General features: G+C 36.5%; 1 protein-coding gene across 14 annotated transcripts in view; it reads left to right on the top strand.

The window, feature by feature from the left end:
* Positions 1–19,201, top strand: part of BAZ2B (bromodomain adjacent to zinc finger domain 2B) — a 397,131-nt gene that overhangs the window by 32,502 nt on the left and 345,428 nt on the right. For 8 of the 14 annotated variants that reach the window (XM_047444044.1, XM_047444043.1, XM_047444055.1 and 5 more), the window contains exon 3: positions 9,131–9,233. The exons of 3 other annotated variants lie outside the window; for them this stretch is intronic. The gene's annotated coding sequence lies outside the window, so the exon portion shown is untranslated. Of the gene's footprint in view, positions 1–9,127; positions 9,234–19,201 lie in introns of all 14 variants that reach the window. 3 more of the 14 variants (XM_047444045.1, XM_047444041.1, XM_047444042.1) reach the window with 1 other exon arrangement.

Here is a 19,201-nt window from a genome sequence, read left to right as displayed (position 1 = left end):
TGATTATGTAGTAATTACTGCCTAGAACTGTGCATTGAGCATTGAGGCTGCATCAGCACTCTATAGCATAGTGCACTTTGAATGATTTTTGATGTATGCCCTGGGCAGAGAAAGAGGTAATGGTGGCCCAAGTATTTGGCATTTCCTTCCTAGGTTTTTAAGTAAATTATTACATATCCTCATGCTTAAAAGAAGTTTAATTTTCCTATTTCACTTTTCTCATATATAAATATGAATAATTGTCTTCTTAATGCCAATTCCTGAATAGTGATGAACTAATTTAGGCATTGAAAGGATTTATTTAAATTATTACTTTTTTGGAAGTTACATTTTCATATCACATTCTGTGTAAAGGTCAAAATTAGGAAAGGCTTATAATGTTAAATCACCTACATTTAAAAATTATTCAACAGAAGAGAACCTAGTTGGCCATTTTATTCATAATCACCCAAAACAGAAAATAACCCACATGTTCTTCCATGGATGAATATATAAACAAACTCTGCTATTTTACTTTATACTATACCATTCTATATACTACCACATATAGTATATAATATACTATGGAATACTGCTCAGCAATAAAAAAGCATGTCACCTTTAACAGAGTCAGAAATAAAAAAGGAATGAACCCACATTCAACATCTTTTTTTTTTTTTTTTTTTTTTTGAGATGAAGTCTCACTCTGTCACCCAGGCTGGAGTGCAGCGGAGCAATCTTGGCTCATTGCAAGCTCCGCCTCCCAGCTTCACGCCATTCTCCTGCCTCAGCCTCCCAAGTAGCTGGGACTACAGGCGCCCGCCACCACAGCAGGCTAATTTTTTGTATTTTTAGCAGAGACTGGGTTTCACCGTGTTAGCCAGGATGGTCTCGACCTCCTGACCTCGTGATCCGCCCGCCTCGGCCTCCCAAAGTGCTGGGATTACAGGCGTGAGCCACCGCGCCCGGCCCATTCAACATCTTGAGTAGTGAGTCTCAAAGTCATGCAGCATAGAAACTATTCTCAAAAAGGTTGCCTTCTGTATCATGCCATTTATAAGCTATTCTTGACAAGACAAACCTATATTGTTAGAAAACAGATCAGTAGTTATCAGGGGTTAGGGATTGTGAAACTGCAAAAGTAATAGTACAAGGGATTTTGGAGGTGTATGTGATAGAGGTGTTCTGTATCCTGATTGTGGTGGTAGTGACATAAATCTGTATATGTTTTTATGTTTACAGAACTATTTGCCTCCCCCACCATCAGATCAGTTTCATAATTTTAAATCAATTTTAGGAAAAAATGTAGAATAGTAAGTTTATTTTTTTGACACAAGGTGGTCTCACTACCCCGGCTGTCCTCTAACTCCTGGACTCAAGCAGTCCTACCTACCTCAGCCTCTCTAGTAGCTGGGACTATAGGCATGCACCACTAGAATGGAAAATAGTACTTTTAGTACAGGTTGTAACTGTGCTGTGCTATGATATGAAGTAAAAGGGAAATTCTGGGTGTTAGAATAAAATGTCTAAGAAACTATATGCAAAGAATAAAGTATATTGCAATTAGGCACTTGGGATTGGTATTTAGTATTTTGTATTTGTATTTTGTAATGGAAAAAGTATAAAATATCTATGTTGTTGATACTGCTCTATTATGGTTGGGTTGAGGGAACTTGATCAAATAACTTAATTGCTCAAGTTATTAGGTTCTTTTTCAATGGAATGAGTTTGTACCCTGTGCTTCTCAAACTGAAATACTAGTAAACATTTTATTCCAGACTATGTTTGCATTAATAGAAAATGTTTTAAATTATTTAGCATTACGTAAAATAGATGCTCCAGAAAAATGCTCCTTATTTTTTCTAGTGGCTTCACATAGTCTCTGCCATTCCATTCCATTCTAACTGTAATAGCGTGAGACTAGGTAACATAATAGTATTTCTCATAGCTGTAAAGTTTTGGTTTGTGTTAATTTTTGTCAGATAATTTTGTTTAAGTTTTCATCTTTAAGTATTTATTTTTTGAATACTATGCAGAACAGAAATTTAAGACCACTAGATGGGGATGTAAACAATATAGCATTTGTTTCTGGTGCTCTGAAGTAACTTGATGCAGCTTTAAGTTTAATTCCCAGAAAAGAGGGGAGAAAACAAAGAACAAATCCACTTGTTTTTATCTTCCTAAATGTTATAGTAATCTGGATTTGGGCAAATTAAGCTTCTGAATTAAGAATGAAGTCCTCTATGCTCAAATAGCATATTGTGAAACCCAAATATGAATGACTTTAAATGACTGTCTTTGAATGACTCTCCATTGTTGCAATATGTGGCATTATTTGTTTTATAAGTGTATTTTGTCCTCACAGATGTTTAATGACAGATACAAAATTAGAAATAAAATGTAGCACTTAAGACACAGAGCAATTTTTTTCTCCTGGGTTTTTCTGTCCCCTTCTTTGATACTATAAAAAATAGTGAATGATAACTTGCCTCTTTTAAAACATACTGTAAAAACTTATATTAATTTCATGGCTTATTAATTATTTTATGTCTTCTACATATAATTAGAAAAAGCATAGTTACACAAAATATTAAGAATTTCTTTAAAACAAAGGTTTGAAACAAAATATCATTGTGTTGTATTCAGTCTTTTAAAGAATTTAGAAAAAATATTGGAAAAGGACAAGGCTTTTTGTTTTTGTAGACTTTTTCCTCTTTCTTATCTTTAAAATGAAGGAAGCTGTGTATTCTCAGGAGTTCAAATTTTTTCTTGAGAATTTTTATCATATAACTATATATTTTATTACCTTTCAAGCAAATATATGTGTTTGTTGGTAACTATATAAGCTTTAATCTTTATCCATCATTATCACTGTTGAAGATTCCCTTTCAGCACAATACAGGACTTCTATCCAATAAGGGCTGACAATTTTATTTTAATTGACAACTCAATTTTTAAAAATTGTAATATATATATATATATATATATATATATATATATATATATATAACAAAACTATTTTAACCACTTTTAAAAATTATAACACTTATGTAACATAAATTTAACCATTTTAATCGTTTAAAGCCTACAACTCAGTGGCATTAAGTACATTCACACTATTGTGCAACCATCCACTGTTTCCAAAACTTTTTTATCACCACAAACAGAAACTCTGTAACCATTTAGCCATAACTCCCTATTGCACCCAGTCTCTGGTAACTTCTAATCTACTTTCTGTCTTTATGAATTTGCCTTGAATTACTCAACTTTAAAACAACTCTGTGTGTGTGTGTGTGTGTGTGTGTGTGTGTGTGCATTTAGATACCACTGTGTTACCCATGCTGGACTTGGACGCCTGGGCTCAGGCAGTCCTCTCACCTCAGCCTCCCAAGTAGCTGGGACTACAGGCACCCATCACGTGCTCAGCTTAAAATGACTACATATTTTTAATTTTTCCACTTGAATGAGAAAATTTAATATGGTAAAGGTTTACTATTGTCATTTAGGAGAAATATAATGCCATGAATAGTGGTGTGTGCATATATACAAATAGCTGTGAAGTGTCACAAAGAACCAAGTCACTAATATAAGTAAGTTTACAAGATATCTTATTCAGAAAAGATAATTGAAGCCAGGCATGGTGGATCACACCTATAATCCTAGCAGTTTGGGAGGCCAAGGCGGGAGGATTGCTGGAGTTCAGGAGTTCAAGACCAGCCTGGGCAACATAGGAAGACCTCATCTGTACTAAAAAAAAAAAATTAGCCTAGGCCAGGCGTGGTGGCTCATGCCTGTAATCCCAGCGCTTTGGGAGGCCGAGGCAGGTGGATCACGAGGTCGGGAGTTCAAGACCAGCCTGGCCAAGATGGTGAAACCTCATCATTACTAAAATACAAATATTAGCCGGGTGCGGTGGTAGGTGCCTGTAATCCCAGCTACTCGGGAGACTGAGGCAGGAGAATCACCTGAACCTGGGGGGTGGAGGTTGCAGTGAGCCTAGATCGCACCACTGCACTCCAGCCTGGGTGACAGTGAGACTCCGTCTCAAAAAAAGAAAAAGCCGAACGTAGGGGGTGCGCCTGTATTCCCAGTCACTTGGGAGGCTGAGGTGAGAGGATAGCTTAAGCCTGTGAGGTGGAAGTTGCAGTGAGCTAGGATCACGCCACTGCACTCCAGCCTGGGTGACAGTGAGACCCGATCTCAAAAAAAAAGAAACAAAGGTAATTGAAACCTTTCACTTAGAAAAGCTGGGATTTCGTTATATTCTTTAAAGAGATGATATATGGGGAAATATGAAAATAGGTAGATAATTATGAAATCAGTTGGGGAAATCTGGAGAATCATTTTCTGTACATTATTTTAGATAAAATTGTACCTTAATTATCTCCAAAAAATAATTGATCCGTTTTTTAGTATTTCTTCAGATTGTCTTTCTTTGGTTTCACAATTCTATAACTGGAGAGGTTTCCCTTTATAAAACTCTACATACATTGCTATCATATTTTCACCTTAAACTTATTCCCTCATATCCTATCTTCACCAGAAATAGTGAATAGCTTCACTGATGTATACAAATTTTTCCTATCTATGATTCAGGAATCAGAGGATTTTTACAGTTAATGGGCTCATTTAACATTTGTTAAACTGTATTCTGTTGTGCGTTTTTTTTTTTAACTGAAGAAGTGTGATGTGTTGATAACTTTAAAAAATTTTTAATATTTTATTGCCTCTTTAATTTACTTATTATAATAGAGACAGTCTCAAATTCCTGGCCTCAAGTGATTCTCCCACCCAGGCTTCCCAAAGTGCTAGGATTACAAGTAAGAGCCTCTGTGCCAGCTTATAATAAATCTTATTCCAGTCTAAAATGAGAGGATTCTGTCTTGTCCTCCCCAGTTCCGTATTTGTGTGTTCCTTCTCTTCCAGTGAGGTACTCTGGCTCCCCAAGAGCGTTTTATATATTTACTCATTTGCTTAATGCTGCGACAAATACAAAATCATACAAAAATGCTGCTCCAATGTTATTACAAACAATAGACTTTTAAGGTAGAGCTCAAGAAATTTTTGCATTTCTCTTTATTTTCCAGTGAAAGGTATATACTTCAAATACTGTGTTCAGAAATTATTTGGATTAGTTATTTTCCTTGTTCTATATGGCTATGTTATTTATTCAGAAATCCTTACATTTATTTGTTTCTTCAGGTATTCAACTTTAGGTTTTCCCCATTCTTTTTTTTTTTTTTTTAAGACGGAGCTTCATTCTTGTCACCCAGGCTGGACTGCAATGGCGCAATCTCAGCTCACTGCAACCTCTGCCTCCCAGGTTCAAGTGATTCTCCTGCCTCAGCCTCCCAAGTAGCTGGGATTACAGATGCGTGCCACCACACCCGGCTAATTTTTGTATTTTTTAGTAGAGATGCAGTTTCACCATGTTGGCCAGGCTGGTCTCCAACTAATAACATGAAGTGATCGGCCCACCTCAACCTCCCAAAGTGCTGGGAATGCAGGCATGAGCCACCGCGCCCAGCCTCCATTCTTTTTTCTTTTCTTTTCTTCTCTTCTCTTTTCTTTTCTTTTCTTCCCTTCCCTTCCTTTTCCTTTTCTTTCTTTCTTTTTTTTTTTTTTCTGAGACAGAGTCTCACTTCGTTGCCCAGGCTGGAGTGCAATGGTGTGATCACAGCTTACTGCAGCCCTCACTTAGTGGGCTCAGGTGATCCTCCCATCTCAGACTCCCAAGTAACTGGGACTACAGGCACATGCCACCACACTCAGGTAGTTTTTGTAGAGACAAGGTTTCACTATGTTGCCTAGGCTGGTCTTGAACTCCTTGGCTCAAGCAATCTGCCCACCTCAGCCTTGCAAAGTGCTTGGGATTACAAGTATCAGCCACTGCATCTGACGTGCCTGTTCTTTTAAATTAAAAAAAAAAATTAATTATGTCATTTACTCTTAAATGTTCTTAAATAAAAACTATACAAAAATATGTAATCAATGAAATGTCATTCCTTCTTCTGTCCCTTCTACTCTTTCACTCATCTTCTTTAGATAACTAGTTTTTTTCATTTCTGGTTATCATTCCTCTACAGGATTTGTTTGTTCTACTTTTTGGTTTTCATTCTGTGTGTGTGCGAAAATATGTATATCTTCACATGTAATTATATATTCTTATTTCTTTCAGAAAATATAGCTACTCTATGTACTTTTTTATAGTTTTGATTTGTTTGATTTTTGGCTAATATATCGTGGATATATTTTTATCAGTTCATAGATATCTTCATTTTTTTTTTTACAGCTACATAATTTGTGATGTGCAGTCTGTGGGTGTCCATAGTTTAACCTACTAATGTAAGAGCATTTATGTGTTTTTCCTGTGGTTTGCAATTACAAATAATGCTACAATTCATCACCTTGTACATACATATTTTTATGCATTTAGAGCTGTATATTCAGGGTAAATTCCAGAAATGGAATTGTTAAATCAAAGGATAAACACTTTTGTAGTTTTGTTTGACGTTGCCAAATTCTTCCCTATAGAGATTATAGCATTTTATATCCCACCAGCAATGGTTAAGTTCCTATTTCCTCACAGCCTCACCAACAGAGTAATTGTCAAACTTTAGAGTTTTTACTGGTCTAAAGGTAAGAAATGGTATCTTAGTGTAGTTTTAATTTGCATTTGCCTCATGAAAGTGAAGCTGAATGTATTTTCATATGTTTAAGAGCCAGTTCATATTATTTTTCTGAATCATCTGTTTAAATTTTTTTGCCTATTTTTCTATTGGGATTTTAGAGTTTTTAATTGGTTATCTAAGACTTCTTTATATATTAGGAATATTAGCCTATTACCTGTAGTTTATGTTCCAAGTATTTCCTCCCTGCTTATCATTTGTCTTTGGACTTTACTTACGATGTTTTTTGCCATGCAGAAGTTTTTCATTTTTATGTAACAGATTTGTCAATATTTTCTTTCAATGAATCTAGAGTTTGAGTCATATATATAAAGTCTTTCTCAATACCTAAGTTATAAGGAAATTAATATATGTTTTCTTTCACTCTTTGTATCATTTCATACTTTACATTTAGAACTTAGGTCTACTTGAGGTGTACGCATATGTTTGGTGTGCAGAATTGATCCAGATATATCATTTTCCAAATAGCTATCTAGTTATCTCAACATTATTTATCAAAAAGTGCATTTTTCCTCTAGTCTTCTGAGATAACCCCTTTATTGCATACTAAATTTCTAAATCTATACTTGTCAGTTTTTAGAATCTTATTCTTCCTCACTGGTCTTCTGTCTATTCAGGGGGAGGAGTCAGGAAGCCATAACACCTCCCTCTCTCCAAAAGAATAAAGTAGATGCTGCTCATACCTGGAAAAACCTTCACTCTGGTTAGCATCACTGGCAACTGTATTTCCATGAGGATTCTAAGGCCCCAGGATTCTGTACAGGATGTGTTGTTGTTTACTTTCTATTTTAATGAAAATTGCATAGTTTTATCTTCTTCTTTTTATCTTTCCAACTTGGGAGATTTATGGGAAAGAAAAAGACAATATTGGCCATTGTTGAACATTGTTTATGTGGGTGAGATCCCTTGGATTTAACAATTAAAACTTTACAATTTGTGTGTTTATGTGATTGACTGGTATAAATCAGCTAAAATAAAATCCTTAAGTACATTCACGGTTGTTAACACCGCTTCCTCTTCAACATTTTTGAAATGTGTACCATAAATCCTAATTGTCTCAATTGATTATAAGCAGGCTTATATTCTAAAGCAAAATTATTATTTTGTTGCAACTAGAAAACTATTCTCACGTCTTATACAAAAGTTTAGAATGTTTATATGGAAAATGAAATAGTAATGCCTAATATAAACTTTATACAAAAGTTTAGAATGTTTATATGGAAAATGAAATAATAATGCCTAATATAACATAACAATATGTACACAAAGGAAAAAAGAAGCAAAATGTTTCTGGGATGAAAATGAGGTGAAGAATTTTCAAGTCATGCTAAAGTTTGACAACATGGTTGTATTCTTCAGCGGCTCCCAAGAGAACTATTCTAAGAGTTGTGGAACAATATTACATACAGTTAGGATTAGTTGTTTTATAAAGGAATTTGTTGATATGATTAAAAATTATATATCCATGAGAAGTGGCCATTAGAGGGAAAAACAACGTGCTATCCAAATCTGAAAGGCCATTAGCTTAAGCATCTCTAGTGTTTGGTCTTCATTATATAAATATATCAGATTATTTACTAAGAATACATAAACTATTTCTGCTAGTTTGACTAATATACTGAGTATTCCTGAGCAGAAAGAGTTCGTATTCATTGACTGACCAGGCCTCTGAAAAGTTCAGCAGGATGGGGCAATTATTATTTTTTGTCTAATTGGTGAAATCGTCCCAATAAATAACTGTTGTACCTGATATGTTCTTTTATTTTTAAAATTGAGATATTTATATTTAAACTCATTTTAAAAACATTGCCTCTCTGGGTTCACTTTGAAAAGTATTTGAGGTAGTACCTTCTAGAAAGAATTAGTTATTTATGTCCCGTATAGCTACCAATTATTTTCTGTCTTAATATGTATCACCCTTGCATGCATTTTTTTTTATTTGAAATGGTTCTTTGGGAGAACGAAAGTATTGCGAGGAGCTCCAGTGACCCAAATGAATTATAAAACATTAACCAGTAAGTCAGCAGTTCTGAACATCAACCTTGACAGCTTATGAGTGAAGATAGTAGGCAGTAAGGGAGGACCAGATTTAAAGGATCAATGTATTTGACCTGACAAAATCAAGGGATGAGGCATATTGAGGTGCAGTTTAGAACTGTGAGTACTATACTTGGAAAAGCAGGCCTAGACACACTTATAAACTGAAACCTAAGATAAAGAAAAAATTATGAAAGCAGACAGAGAAAAGTTTGCTTTACATACCAAAGAACAATAATTTGAAGGCCAACATTTTTTCGTCAGGAAACATAGAGGCCAGAAGACAGTATAACATCATCTTAAAACCTGAAACAATAAATCAGTCAGTCCAGAATTCTGTGTCCAGTGGAAGTATCCTTCAGAAATGATGGCAAAATTAAGACAATTTTACAAATGGGAAACTAAGAGAAATTTGTCTCCAGCAGACCTATACTACAAGAAATGATAATGGAAGTTCTTCAACTGAGCAAGAAATGATATTAACAGAAAACTTGGATCTTCAGAAGCAAATGAAGAACATCAGAAATGGTAAATATCTGGATAAAAATAAAAGACTGTTATCCTCTTAAGTCCTTTAAAATGACCTTTGGGTATTTAAAACAAAATTATAACATTGGAGTTTTGGAGTTTTCAATGTATGCAGATGTAATACATATTTACATTGTTAATATACAATAGTAACTTATACAACTACTATAAAATACATAAAACTATAACAACGTATGGTATGTGGCAAGGGGGCAGGTGATTAAAGGGACCTATATGCTTGCAAGGTGTATGTGTTTTACATGAAGAGAAGAGATATAGTGTTCTGCTTGAACTCTGAAAGATCAGAGATGTATATTGTGATCCTTACAGAAATCGCTAAAAATAAAATACAAAGAGGTACAGTTCATGAGCCAATAGAATTGTTAAAATGCAGTACTAAAGAGTATTTAAATTATCTTTCTAAAAAGTAGAAAAGAGGCTGGGCGTGGTAGCTCACGCCTGTAATTCCAGCACTTGGGAAGGCCGAGGCAGGTGGATCACTTGAGGTCAGGAGTTTGAGACCAGCGTGGCCAACACAGTAAAAACCCATCTCTAGTAAATATACAAAAATTAGCCAGGCATGGTGGTGCATGCCTGTAGTCGCGGCTACTTGGGAGGCTGAGGCAGGAGAATCACTTGAACCCGGGAGGCGGAGGTTGCAGTGAGCCGAGGTCACACCACTGCACTCCAGCCTGGGCGACAGAGCAAGACTCGATCTCAAGAAAAAAAAGAGGAAAGAAAGAGCAACAGGAACTACTGCAACAACACATAGAGATAATAGAGCCAAGTAATAAAATTATTAAATGAAATTCAGTGATAACAATAATCACATTAAATATTAAACGTCTAAATACTAAAATTTAAAGCTAGGTTGTTAGAGCAGATACAAAAGAAAGAACAAACTATACTTCCTACAAGAGATTTATCTTAGGCCTAAAAATACAAATATATTGAAAGTAAATGAATAGACAAAACTATACCAGGTAAACAGCATAAAAAGAAGAAACAGCTATATTAACATCAGATGAAATCGCTTTTAAGACTGAGGGTATTATCAGAGGTAAAGAGTGATATTTCATAACGATAAAAGGCACAATCTGAGAAAATGTAATCACAAATGCCTGAGTAACAGCAACTTAAACATACATGAAGCAAAAATTGAGATCATGGTAGAAGATTTTAACACCCCCTTCTCAGTAATTGATAGAACAACTAAAAAAAAAATCTATAAAGACATAGAAGATTTGAACCGATTTGATCTAATGGATACATTTGGAATACTATACCTAAATAACTGCCAAATACATATTTTTTTATGTTCACATAGTGTATTCTCAAAGAGAGACCATGTGATAGACAATAAAACAAAACAACAAACTTAAAAGGAATGAAATTATGCAGTTTGTTCTCTTACCACAACAGAATTAAAATTCAATGACAGTAAGATAGGAAAATACCAAATATTTTGAAACTTAACACCCCCCTAAATAAAAAATAGGACAAAGAAGAAATCAAAAAGGAAATTAGAAAATACTTTGAAGGGAATGATAATGAAAATACAACAGATCAAAACTTGAGGAATGTAGATAAAGCAGTGCTTACAGGGTGACATAACTTCAATTTCTTTCTTTCTTTCTTTCTTTTTTTTTTGAGACGGAGTCTCTTGCTGTGTTGCCCAGACTGGAATGAAGTGGCATGATCTCAGCTCACTGCAACCTCTGCCTCCTAGGTTCAAGCAATTCTCCTGCCTCAGCCTCCCGAGTAGCCTGAATCACAGGCATGCACCACCATGCCCGGCTAATTTTTGTATTTTAGTGGAGATGGGGTTTCGCCATGTTGCCCAGGCTGGTCTCAAATTCCTGATCTCAAGTGATCAGCCTGCCTCGGCCTCCCAAAGTGCTGGGATTACAGGCGTCAACCCATTTCAGTTTCTTAAATTAGAAAACAAAGCTCTAAAATTAATGACCTGAGATTTTAAGAAGCTAGACTAGGAAAAGCAAATTGAACCTAAACTAAGTAGAAGGAAGAAGGAATAAAGATAAGAACAGAAATCCACCACCCAAAAAACAGATGAGAGAAAACTGACAAAACCAATGTCTGATTATTTGAAAAGAAAAACAAAATAAACATGTACCTACCTACATGATTGAGATAAAAGAGAAAGCAGTAGACAAAATTCAACATGCATTCACAATATAAACTCAGTAAACCAGGAATGATAGGGAACTTCTTAACCTGAAAAGGAGTATATACTGGAAAACCCCCAATTAACATCATACATAGCAGTGAAAGATGGAATATATTACCCCAAGGATTAGAAACATGGAAAGAATGACCTCTTTCACCATTTGTATTTAACATTGTAACAAATGCTCTAGACATTGCATTAGGGCAAAAGAATAACAGCAATAATGTGTATAAAGATCCTAAAGGACAAAGTAAACTGTCCCTCTGCAAAAGCAACTACTAGAACAAGTGAATGAATTAACAATGTTAAAGAATATAATATTAATATAAAATGAGTTGAATATTTTATATACTAGTAGCAAACAATTGGTATTTTTTAAAAATTTCATCAAAAGAAAAATAGGAATAAATATAACAAAATACATCTACAATCTCTACCCGTTAAACTACAAAACACTGATGAGAGAATTTTTAAATGACTGAATTTAATAGATATACCATGTTCATGAATTACAACACTTAAGATTGTTGACATGTTGCTTCTAATGAAATTGATTAATAAAACTAATATAATTTCAATTAAAATTTCAGTAGACCATTTTGAGAGAACCTGAAAAGCTGATGGTAAAATCAATGTGAAAATGCATAAAAACAAGCAATAATAGACAATGCAGTTTTTAAAATGATAAAATTGGAGAACCTATCCAGATTTCAAGACTTCAAGTTATAATCATAACTATTTGTTATTGGCAAAATGAAAAGCCCGTGGACCAATGGAACAGAATCAAATCTTAAAATAGGCCTGGGACATACATATATAATTAACTGATTTTCACCAAGGATGCTAAGGTAATTTAGTGAGGGAATGGAGAGTCTTTTATTTATTTATTTATTTATTTATTTATTTATTTATTTATTTATTTTTGAGACAGAGTCACACTCTGTCACCCAGGCTGCAGTGCAGTGGCACAATCTTACCTCACTGCAACCTCCACCTCCTGGGTTCAAGCGATTCTCGTGCCTCAGACTCCTGAGTAGCTTGAATTACAGGCATGTGCCACCATGCCTGGCTAATTTTTGCATTTTTAGTAGAGACAAGATTTCACCATGTTGGCCAGGCTGGTCTCAAACTTCTGGCCTCAAGTGATCCACCTGCCTTGGCCTTCCAAAGTGCTGGGATTATGGGTGTTAGCCACCATGTCTGGCTGGAGAGTCCTTTCAATAAATTGTTGATATAATTGACTGCCAAAATGGGGGAGAAATTATTAATCCTATCTTATATTGAAGAAAAAAACTCAAAATTAACTATAAACTTAAATCTAAAGCCTTGCACTGTAAATCGCTGAGAAAAAAATTAAAAAAAAAAAACAGGAGAAAAATCTTTGCAATCTAGAAATGGGAAAATTATTCTTAGTCTTTTTTTTTATTATACTTTAAGTTATGGGATACATATGCAGAACGTGCAGGTTTGTTACATAGGTATATATGTGCCATGGTGGTTTGCTGCACCCATCAACCCATCATCTAGGTTTTAAGTCCCACGTGCATTAGGTATTTCTCCTAATGCTATCCTTCCCCTTGCCCCCCACCCCCAACAGGCCCTGGTGTGTGATGTTCCCCTCTCTGTGTCCATGTGTGTTTTGTTTTGTTTGGTTTGGTTTTTTTCAGATGGAGTCTTCGCTCTGTTGCCCAGGCTGGAGTGCAGTGGCCTGATCTTGGCTCACTGCAACCTCCGCCTCCTGAATTCAAGCAATTCTCCTGCCTCTGCCTCCTGAGTAGCTGGGATTATAGGCATGTGCCACCACACCCAACTAATTTTTGTGTTTTAGTAGAGACGGGGTTTTGTTGTGTTGGCCAGGCTGGTCTCGAACCCCTGACATCAAGTGATCCACCCACTTTGGCCTCCTAAATGCTGGGATTACCATGCCTGGCCTGTTCTTAGAATTTTAAAAGTATGAATCAGCTGGGCATGGTTGCACATGCCTGTAATCCCAGCACTTTGGAGGCTGAGGTCGCTGGATCACTTGAGCCCAGGAGTTTGAGACCAGCCTGGGCAACATGGTGAAACCCCATCTTTACAAAAAATACAAAAATTTAGCTAGGCATGGTGGTGTGCGCCTGTAGTCCCAGCTACTTGGAAGGCTGAGGTTGGAAGATCACCTGAGTCAGTGAGGCAGAGATTGCAGTGAGCTAAAATTGGGCCATTGCACTCTAGCCTGGGCGACAGAGCGAGACCCTGTCTCAAAAAAAAAAAAAAAAAAAAGAATCATAAAAAAATATAATAAATTGGCCTTTTTTTAAAGATCAAAATTTAAAACTTTTGCTCTTTGAAAACACACTTAATAAAATGAAAATGCAGTGCATGCATGGAGGAACAATATTGTAAATATATATCAAAGGACTGGGACTTGCTTGCAGGATATTAACAGAACTTTTACAACTCAATAACAAGAAGAACGTGACCCATTTAACAAATGAACAAAAGTTTTGCCTAGGTACATCATAAAAGGATACATGAATGTGAAAATAACCACATGAAAATATGCCCAACATCATTAGTCAACAGGGAAATGCAAATTAAAACCAAAGACACCCATTTCACACACATTACAATTGTTAAAACTAAAAAAGATGTCCATATGGGATGCTGTTTAGGATGTGCACCAACTAGAATTTGCAAACACTGATGGTGGACGTGTAAAATGGAATCCACCTTAGAAAATGGTTTGACACGCCTATGTCCTGAATGGTAATGCCTAGGTTTTCTTCTAGGGTTTTTATGGTTTTAGGTCTAACGTTTAAATCTTTAATCCATCTTGAATTGATTTTTGTATAAGGTGTAAGGAAGGGATCCAGTTTCAGCTTTCTACATATGGCTAGCCAGTTTTCCCAGCACCATTTATTAAATAGGGAATCCTTTCCCCATTGCTTGTTTTTCTCAGGTTTGTCAAAGATCAGATAGTTGTAGATATGCGGCGTTATTTCTGAGGGCTCTGTTCTGTTCCATTGATCTATATCTCTGTTTTGGTACCAGTACCATGCTGTTTTGGTTACTGTAGCCTTGTAGTATAGTTTGAAGTCAGGTAGTGTGATGCCTCCAGCTTTGTTCTTTTGGCTTAGGATTGACTTGGTGATGTGGGCTCTTTTTTGGTTCCATATGAACTTTAAAGTAGTTTTTTCCAATTCTGTGAAGAAAGTCATTGGTAGCTTGATGGGGATGGCATTGAATCTGTAAATTACCTTGGGCAGTATGGCCATTTTCACGATATTGATTCTTCCTACCCATGAGCATGGAATGTTCTTCCATTTGTTTGTGTCCTCTTTTATTTCCTTGAGCAGTGGTTTGTAGTTCTCCTTGAAGAGGTCCTTCACATCCCTTGTAAGTTGGATTCCTAGGTATTTTATTCTCTTTGAAGCAATTGTGAATGGGAGTTCACCCATGATTTGGCTCTCTGTTTGTCTGTTGTTGGTGTATAAGAATGCTTGTGATTTTTGTACATTGATTTTGTATCCTGAGACTTTGCTGAAGTTGCTTATCAGCTTAAGGAGATTTTGGGCTGAGACGATGGGGCAAGGACTTCATGTCCAAAACACCAAAAGCAATGGCAACAAAAGCCAAAATTGACAAATGGGATCTAATTAAACTAAAGAGCTTCTGCACAGCAAAAGAAACTACCATCAGAGTGAACAGGCAACCTACAAAATGGGAGAAAATTTTCGCAACCTACTCATCTGACAAAGGGCTAATATCCAGAATCTACAATGAACTCAAACAAATTTACAAGAAAAAAACAAACAACCCCATCAAAAAGTGGGCGAAGGACATGAACAGACACTTCTCAAAAGAAGACATTTATGCAGCCAAAAAACACATGAAGAAATGCTCATCATCACTGGCCATCAGAGAAATGCAAATCAAAACCACTATGAGATATCATCTCACACCAGTTAGAATGGCAGTCATTAAAAAGTCAGGAAACAACAGGTGCTGGAGAGGATGTGGAGAAATAGGAACACTTTTACACTGTTGGTGGGACTGTAAACTAGTTCAACCATTGTGGAAGTCAGTGTGGCGATTCCTCAGGGATCTAGAACTAGAAATACCATTTGACCCAGCCATCCCATTACTGGGTATATACCCAAAGGACTATAAATCATGCTGCTATAAAGACACATGCACACGTATGTTTATTGCGGCACTATTCACAATAGCAAAGACTTGGAACCAACCCAAATGTCCAACAATGATAGACTGGATTAAGAAAATGTGGCACATATACACCATGGAATACTATGCAGCCATAAAAAATGATGAGTTCATGTCCTTTGTAGGGACATGGATGAAATTGGAAACCATCATTCTCAGTAAACTATCGCAAGAACAAAAAACCAAACACCGCATATTCTCACTCATAGGTGGGAATTGAACAATGAGATCACATGGACACAGGAAGGGGAATATCACACTCTGGGGACTGTGGTGGGGTCGGGGGAGGGGGGAGGGATAGCATTGGGAGATATACCTAATGCTAGATGACACGTTAGTGGGTGCAGCGCACCAGCATGGCACATGTATACATATGTAACTAACCTGCACAATGTGCACATGTACCCTAAAACTTAGAGTATAATTAAAAAAAAAAAAAAAAAAAAAAAAAAAAAAAAGAAAATGGTTTGACAGTTTCTTAAAAGTTAGCAACAGGCAGCCGGGCCCGGTGGCTCACACCTGTAATCCCAGCATTTTTGGAGGCCAAGGCAAGCAGATCACGAGGTCAGGAGTTCAAGACCAGCCTGGCCAACATAGTGAAACCCCGTCTCTACCAAAAATACAAAAATTAGCCGACGTGGTGGCATGTGCCTGTAATACCAGCTGCTCGGGAGGCTGAGGCAGGAGAATCGCTTGAACCCAGGAGGCAGAGGTTGCAGTGAGCCAAAACCAGACCACGCCATTGCATTCCAGCCTGGGTGACAGAGTGTGACTCCATCTCAAAAAAGAAAAAAAAAAAACATTAGCAACAGGCTGTGCGTGGTGGCTTACACCTGTAATCCCAGCACTTTGGGAGGCCAAGGCGGGAGGATCACCTGAGGTCAGGAGTTTGAGACCAGCCTGACCAACATAGTGAAACTGCATCTCTACTAAAAACACAAAAAATTAGCTGGGCGTGGTGGCACACACCTGTAATCCCAGCTACTTGGGAGGCTGAGGCAGGAGAATTGCTTGAGCCTGGGAGGCGGAGGTTGCAGTGAGCTGAGATCATGCCACTGCACTCCAGCCTGGCCGACAGTGAGACTCTGTCTCAAAAAAAAAAAGAAAAAAAAGAAAAAAAAAACAACAACAAAAGAAAATTAGATAAATTAGACTTTGCCAATGTTAAAACTTTTGTCCTAGGGTCACCATCAAAAAGGTAAAAGACCACCAACAGAATGGGAGAAATATTTGCAAATCATACATTTAATAAGAAACTTGTATCTTGAATATATAAATACCACTTACAATTCAATAAAAAGCTCATTTTAAAAAATGGACAAAGAATCAAAATACATATTTATCTAAAGAAGGTATATAAATGGTTTATAAGCACATGAAATTATGTTCAACATCATTAGCCATCAGGGAAATGAAAATCAAAATGACAATAAGATACTAATTCACAACCACTAGGATGGCTGTTTAAAAACCGAAAGTAAGGGCTGGGCGCAGTGGCTCACTCCGGTAATCCCAGCACTTTGGGAGGCTGAGGCAGGTGGATCATTTGAGGTCAGGAGTTCAAAGCCAGCCTGGCCAACATGGTGAAACCCCATGTCTACTAAAAATACAAAAAAAAAAAATTAGCCGGGCATGGTGGTGGGCACCTGTAATCTCAGCTACTCGGGAGGCTGAGGCAGGAGAATCACTTGAGCCCGGGAAGCAGAGATTGCAGTGAGCAGAGATCACGCCATTGCACTCCAGCCTGGGCTACAGCAAGCCTTCATCTCAAAAACAAAACAAAGCGAAACAAACAAACAAAAGTAAAAAACAAGAACCAGTGAGAATGTGGAAATATTGGAACCTCTCATATGGTGCTGGCAGGTATGTAAAGTGGTTCAGCCACTGTGTGGAAAACAGTTTGGCAGTACATGAAAAAGCTAAACATAGAAATACCATATAACCAAACAATTCTACATTTAGGTATATACCTTAAATAATTAAAAACAGATACCCAAACAAATACTTGTGCATGAATGTTTATAGTAGTACTATATACAATTGCCAAAAGGTGGAAAGAACTAAATGTCCATCAACAGATCAATAAGCAAATTGTGGTATAATCTATCCAATGGAATATTATTTTTGGCCAACAAAAAGGAATAGTGGTGCATGCTACAGTGCAGATGAGCCTTGATAACATGCCAAGTGAAAGCAACCAAATACACAAGGCCACATGTTGTATGATTCCATTTGTATGCAATATCCAGAATAGGTAAATCCAGAGACAGACAGTCGATTGGTGGTTGCCAGTGGCCAGGGGAAAGAGGAAATAAGGGAATACCTGTCTCATGGGCATGGGTTATTTTGGGTGGGGGGTGGTCAGGGAGTAATGAAAATGTATTGCAATTAGATAAGATTGTTGGCCAGGCATGGTGGCTTACTCCTGTAGTCCCAGCACTTTGGGAGGTGGAGACAGGAGTATCGCTTGAGCGCAAGAGTTCGAGACCAACCTTAGTAATATACTGAGACCTTGTCTCAATTAAAAAAAAAAAAGATGATGGTTTTACAACATTGTGAATGTACTAAATGCCACTGAATTGTTCCTTTTAAAATGGTTAATTTTATATTATGGGAATTTACACAATAAAACACACATACAAACATACACTCACACATTGAGATATCACTACACATCAAATAGATGAAATAAAACTTTTAAAACTGATTGCACTGGGTTTTGACATGGTTATAGAGGAATTAGAACCCTATGTGTGGGAATATAAAATTGTAAAACTACTTAGGAAAACAGTTTGGCTTTAAAAAGCTTAAAAAGCTAAACAAAACCCAACCACATGATTCATTCACTCTTTTCTTGGGAATTTGCCCAAGAAAAAAAGAGGATATGGGCATACAGACTCTTGAACTAGAATATACCTAACAGCTTTATTTGTAATAGCCCCCAAATTGGAAACATCTGAAATGTCCACCAACAGGTTAATGAATAAAGAAACTGTAGTATATCCATACAATGGAATACTACTCAGCCATATAGAAAGATGAACTATTCACACATTACAATATGGCTGAAGCTCAAAGTAATTTTTCTAAGTGAAGCAACCCACACAAAAAGGGAATACATACTATATGATTTCATTTATATAAAACTCTAAACAAAATAGACAAATCTCTAGTGGCAAGAAATAGATTGTTAGTTGCCTGGGGACAGGAAGAAGGGGAGTAGGGAGGGAAAGAGGATTACAAAAGGGATGAAAAAACTTTTTGGAGTGATGGATATATTCACTATGTTGATTATGGTATTGTTTCACAAGTATATTCATAAGTCAAAATTTATCAAATTGTAGACTGTACATATGTGTATTTTGTATATCAATTATACTTTAATAATGCTATTTTTAAAATAAAAATATTAGTGGCCCCAGGCTCAGTGGCTCATGCCTGTAATCCTAGCACTTTGGGAGGCCGAGGTGGGTGGATTACTTGAGGTCAGGAATTCAAGACCAGCCTGACCAACATGGTAAAACCCCATGTCTGCTAAAAATATAAAAATTAGCTGGGCATGGAGGTGCACGAC

Source organism: Homo sapiens, chromosome 2 (genome assembly GCF_000001405.40).
Source record: "Homo sapiens chromosome 2, GRCh38.p14 Primary Assembly".
NCBI lineage: Eukaryota > Metazoa > Chordata > Mammalia > Primates > Hominidae > Homo > Homo sapiens.
This window is presented reverse-complemented; position numbering and strand designations above follow the sequence as displayed.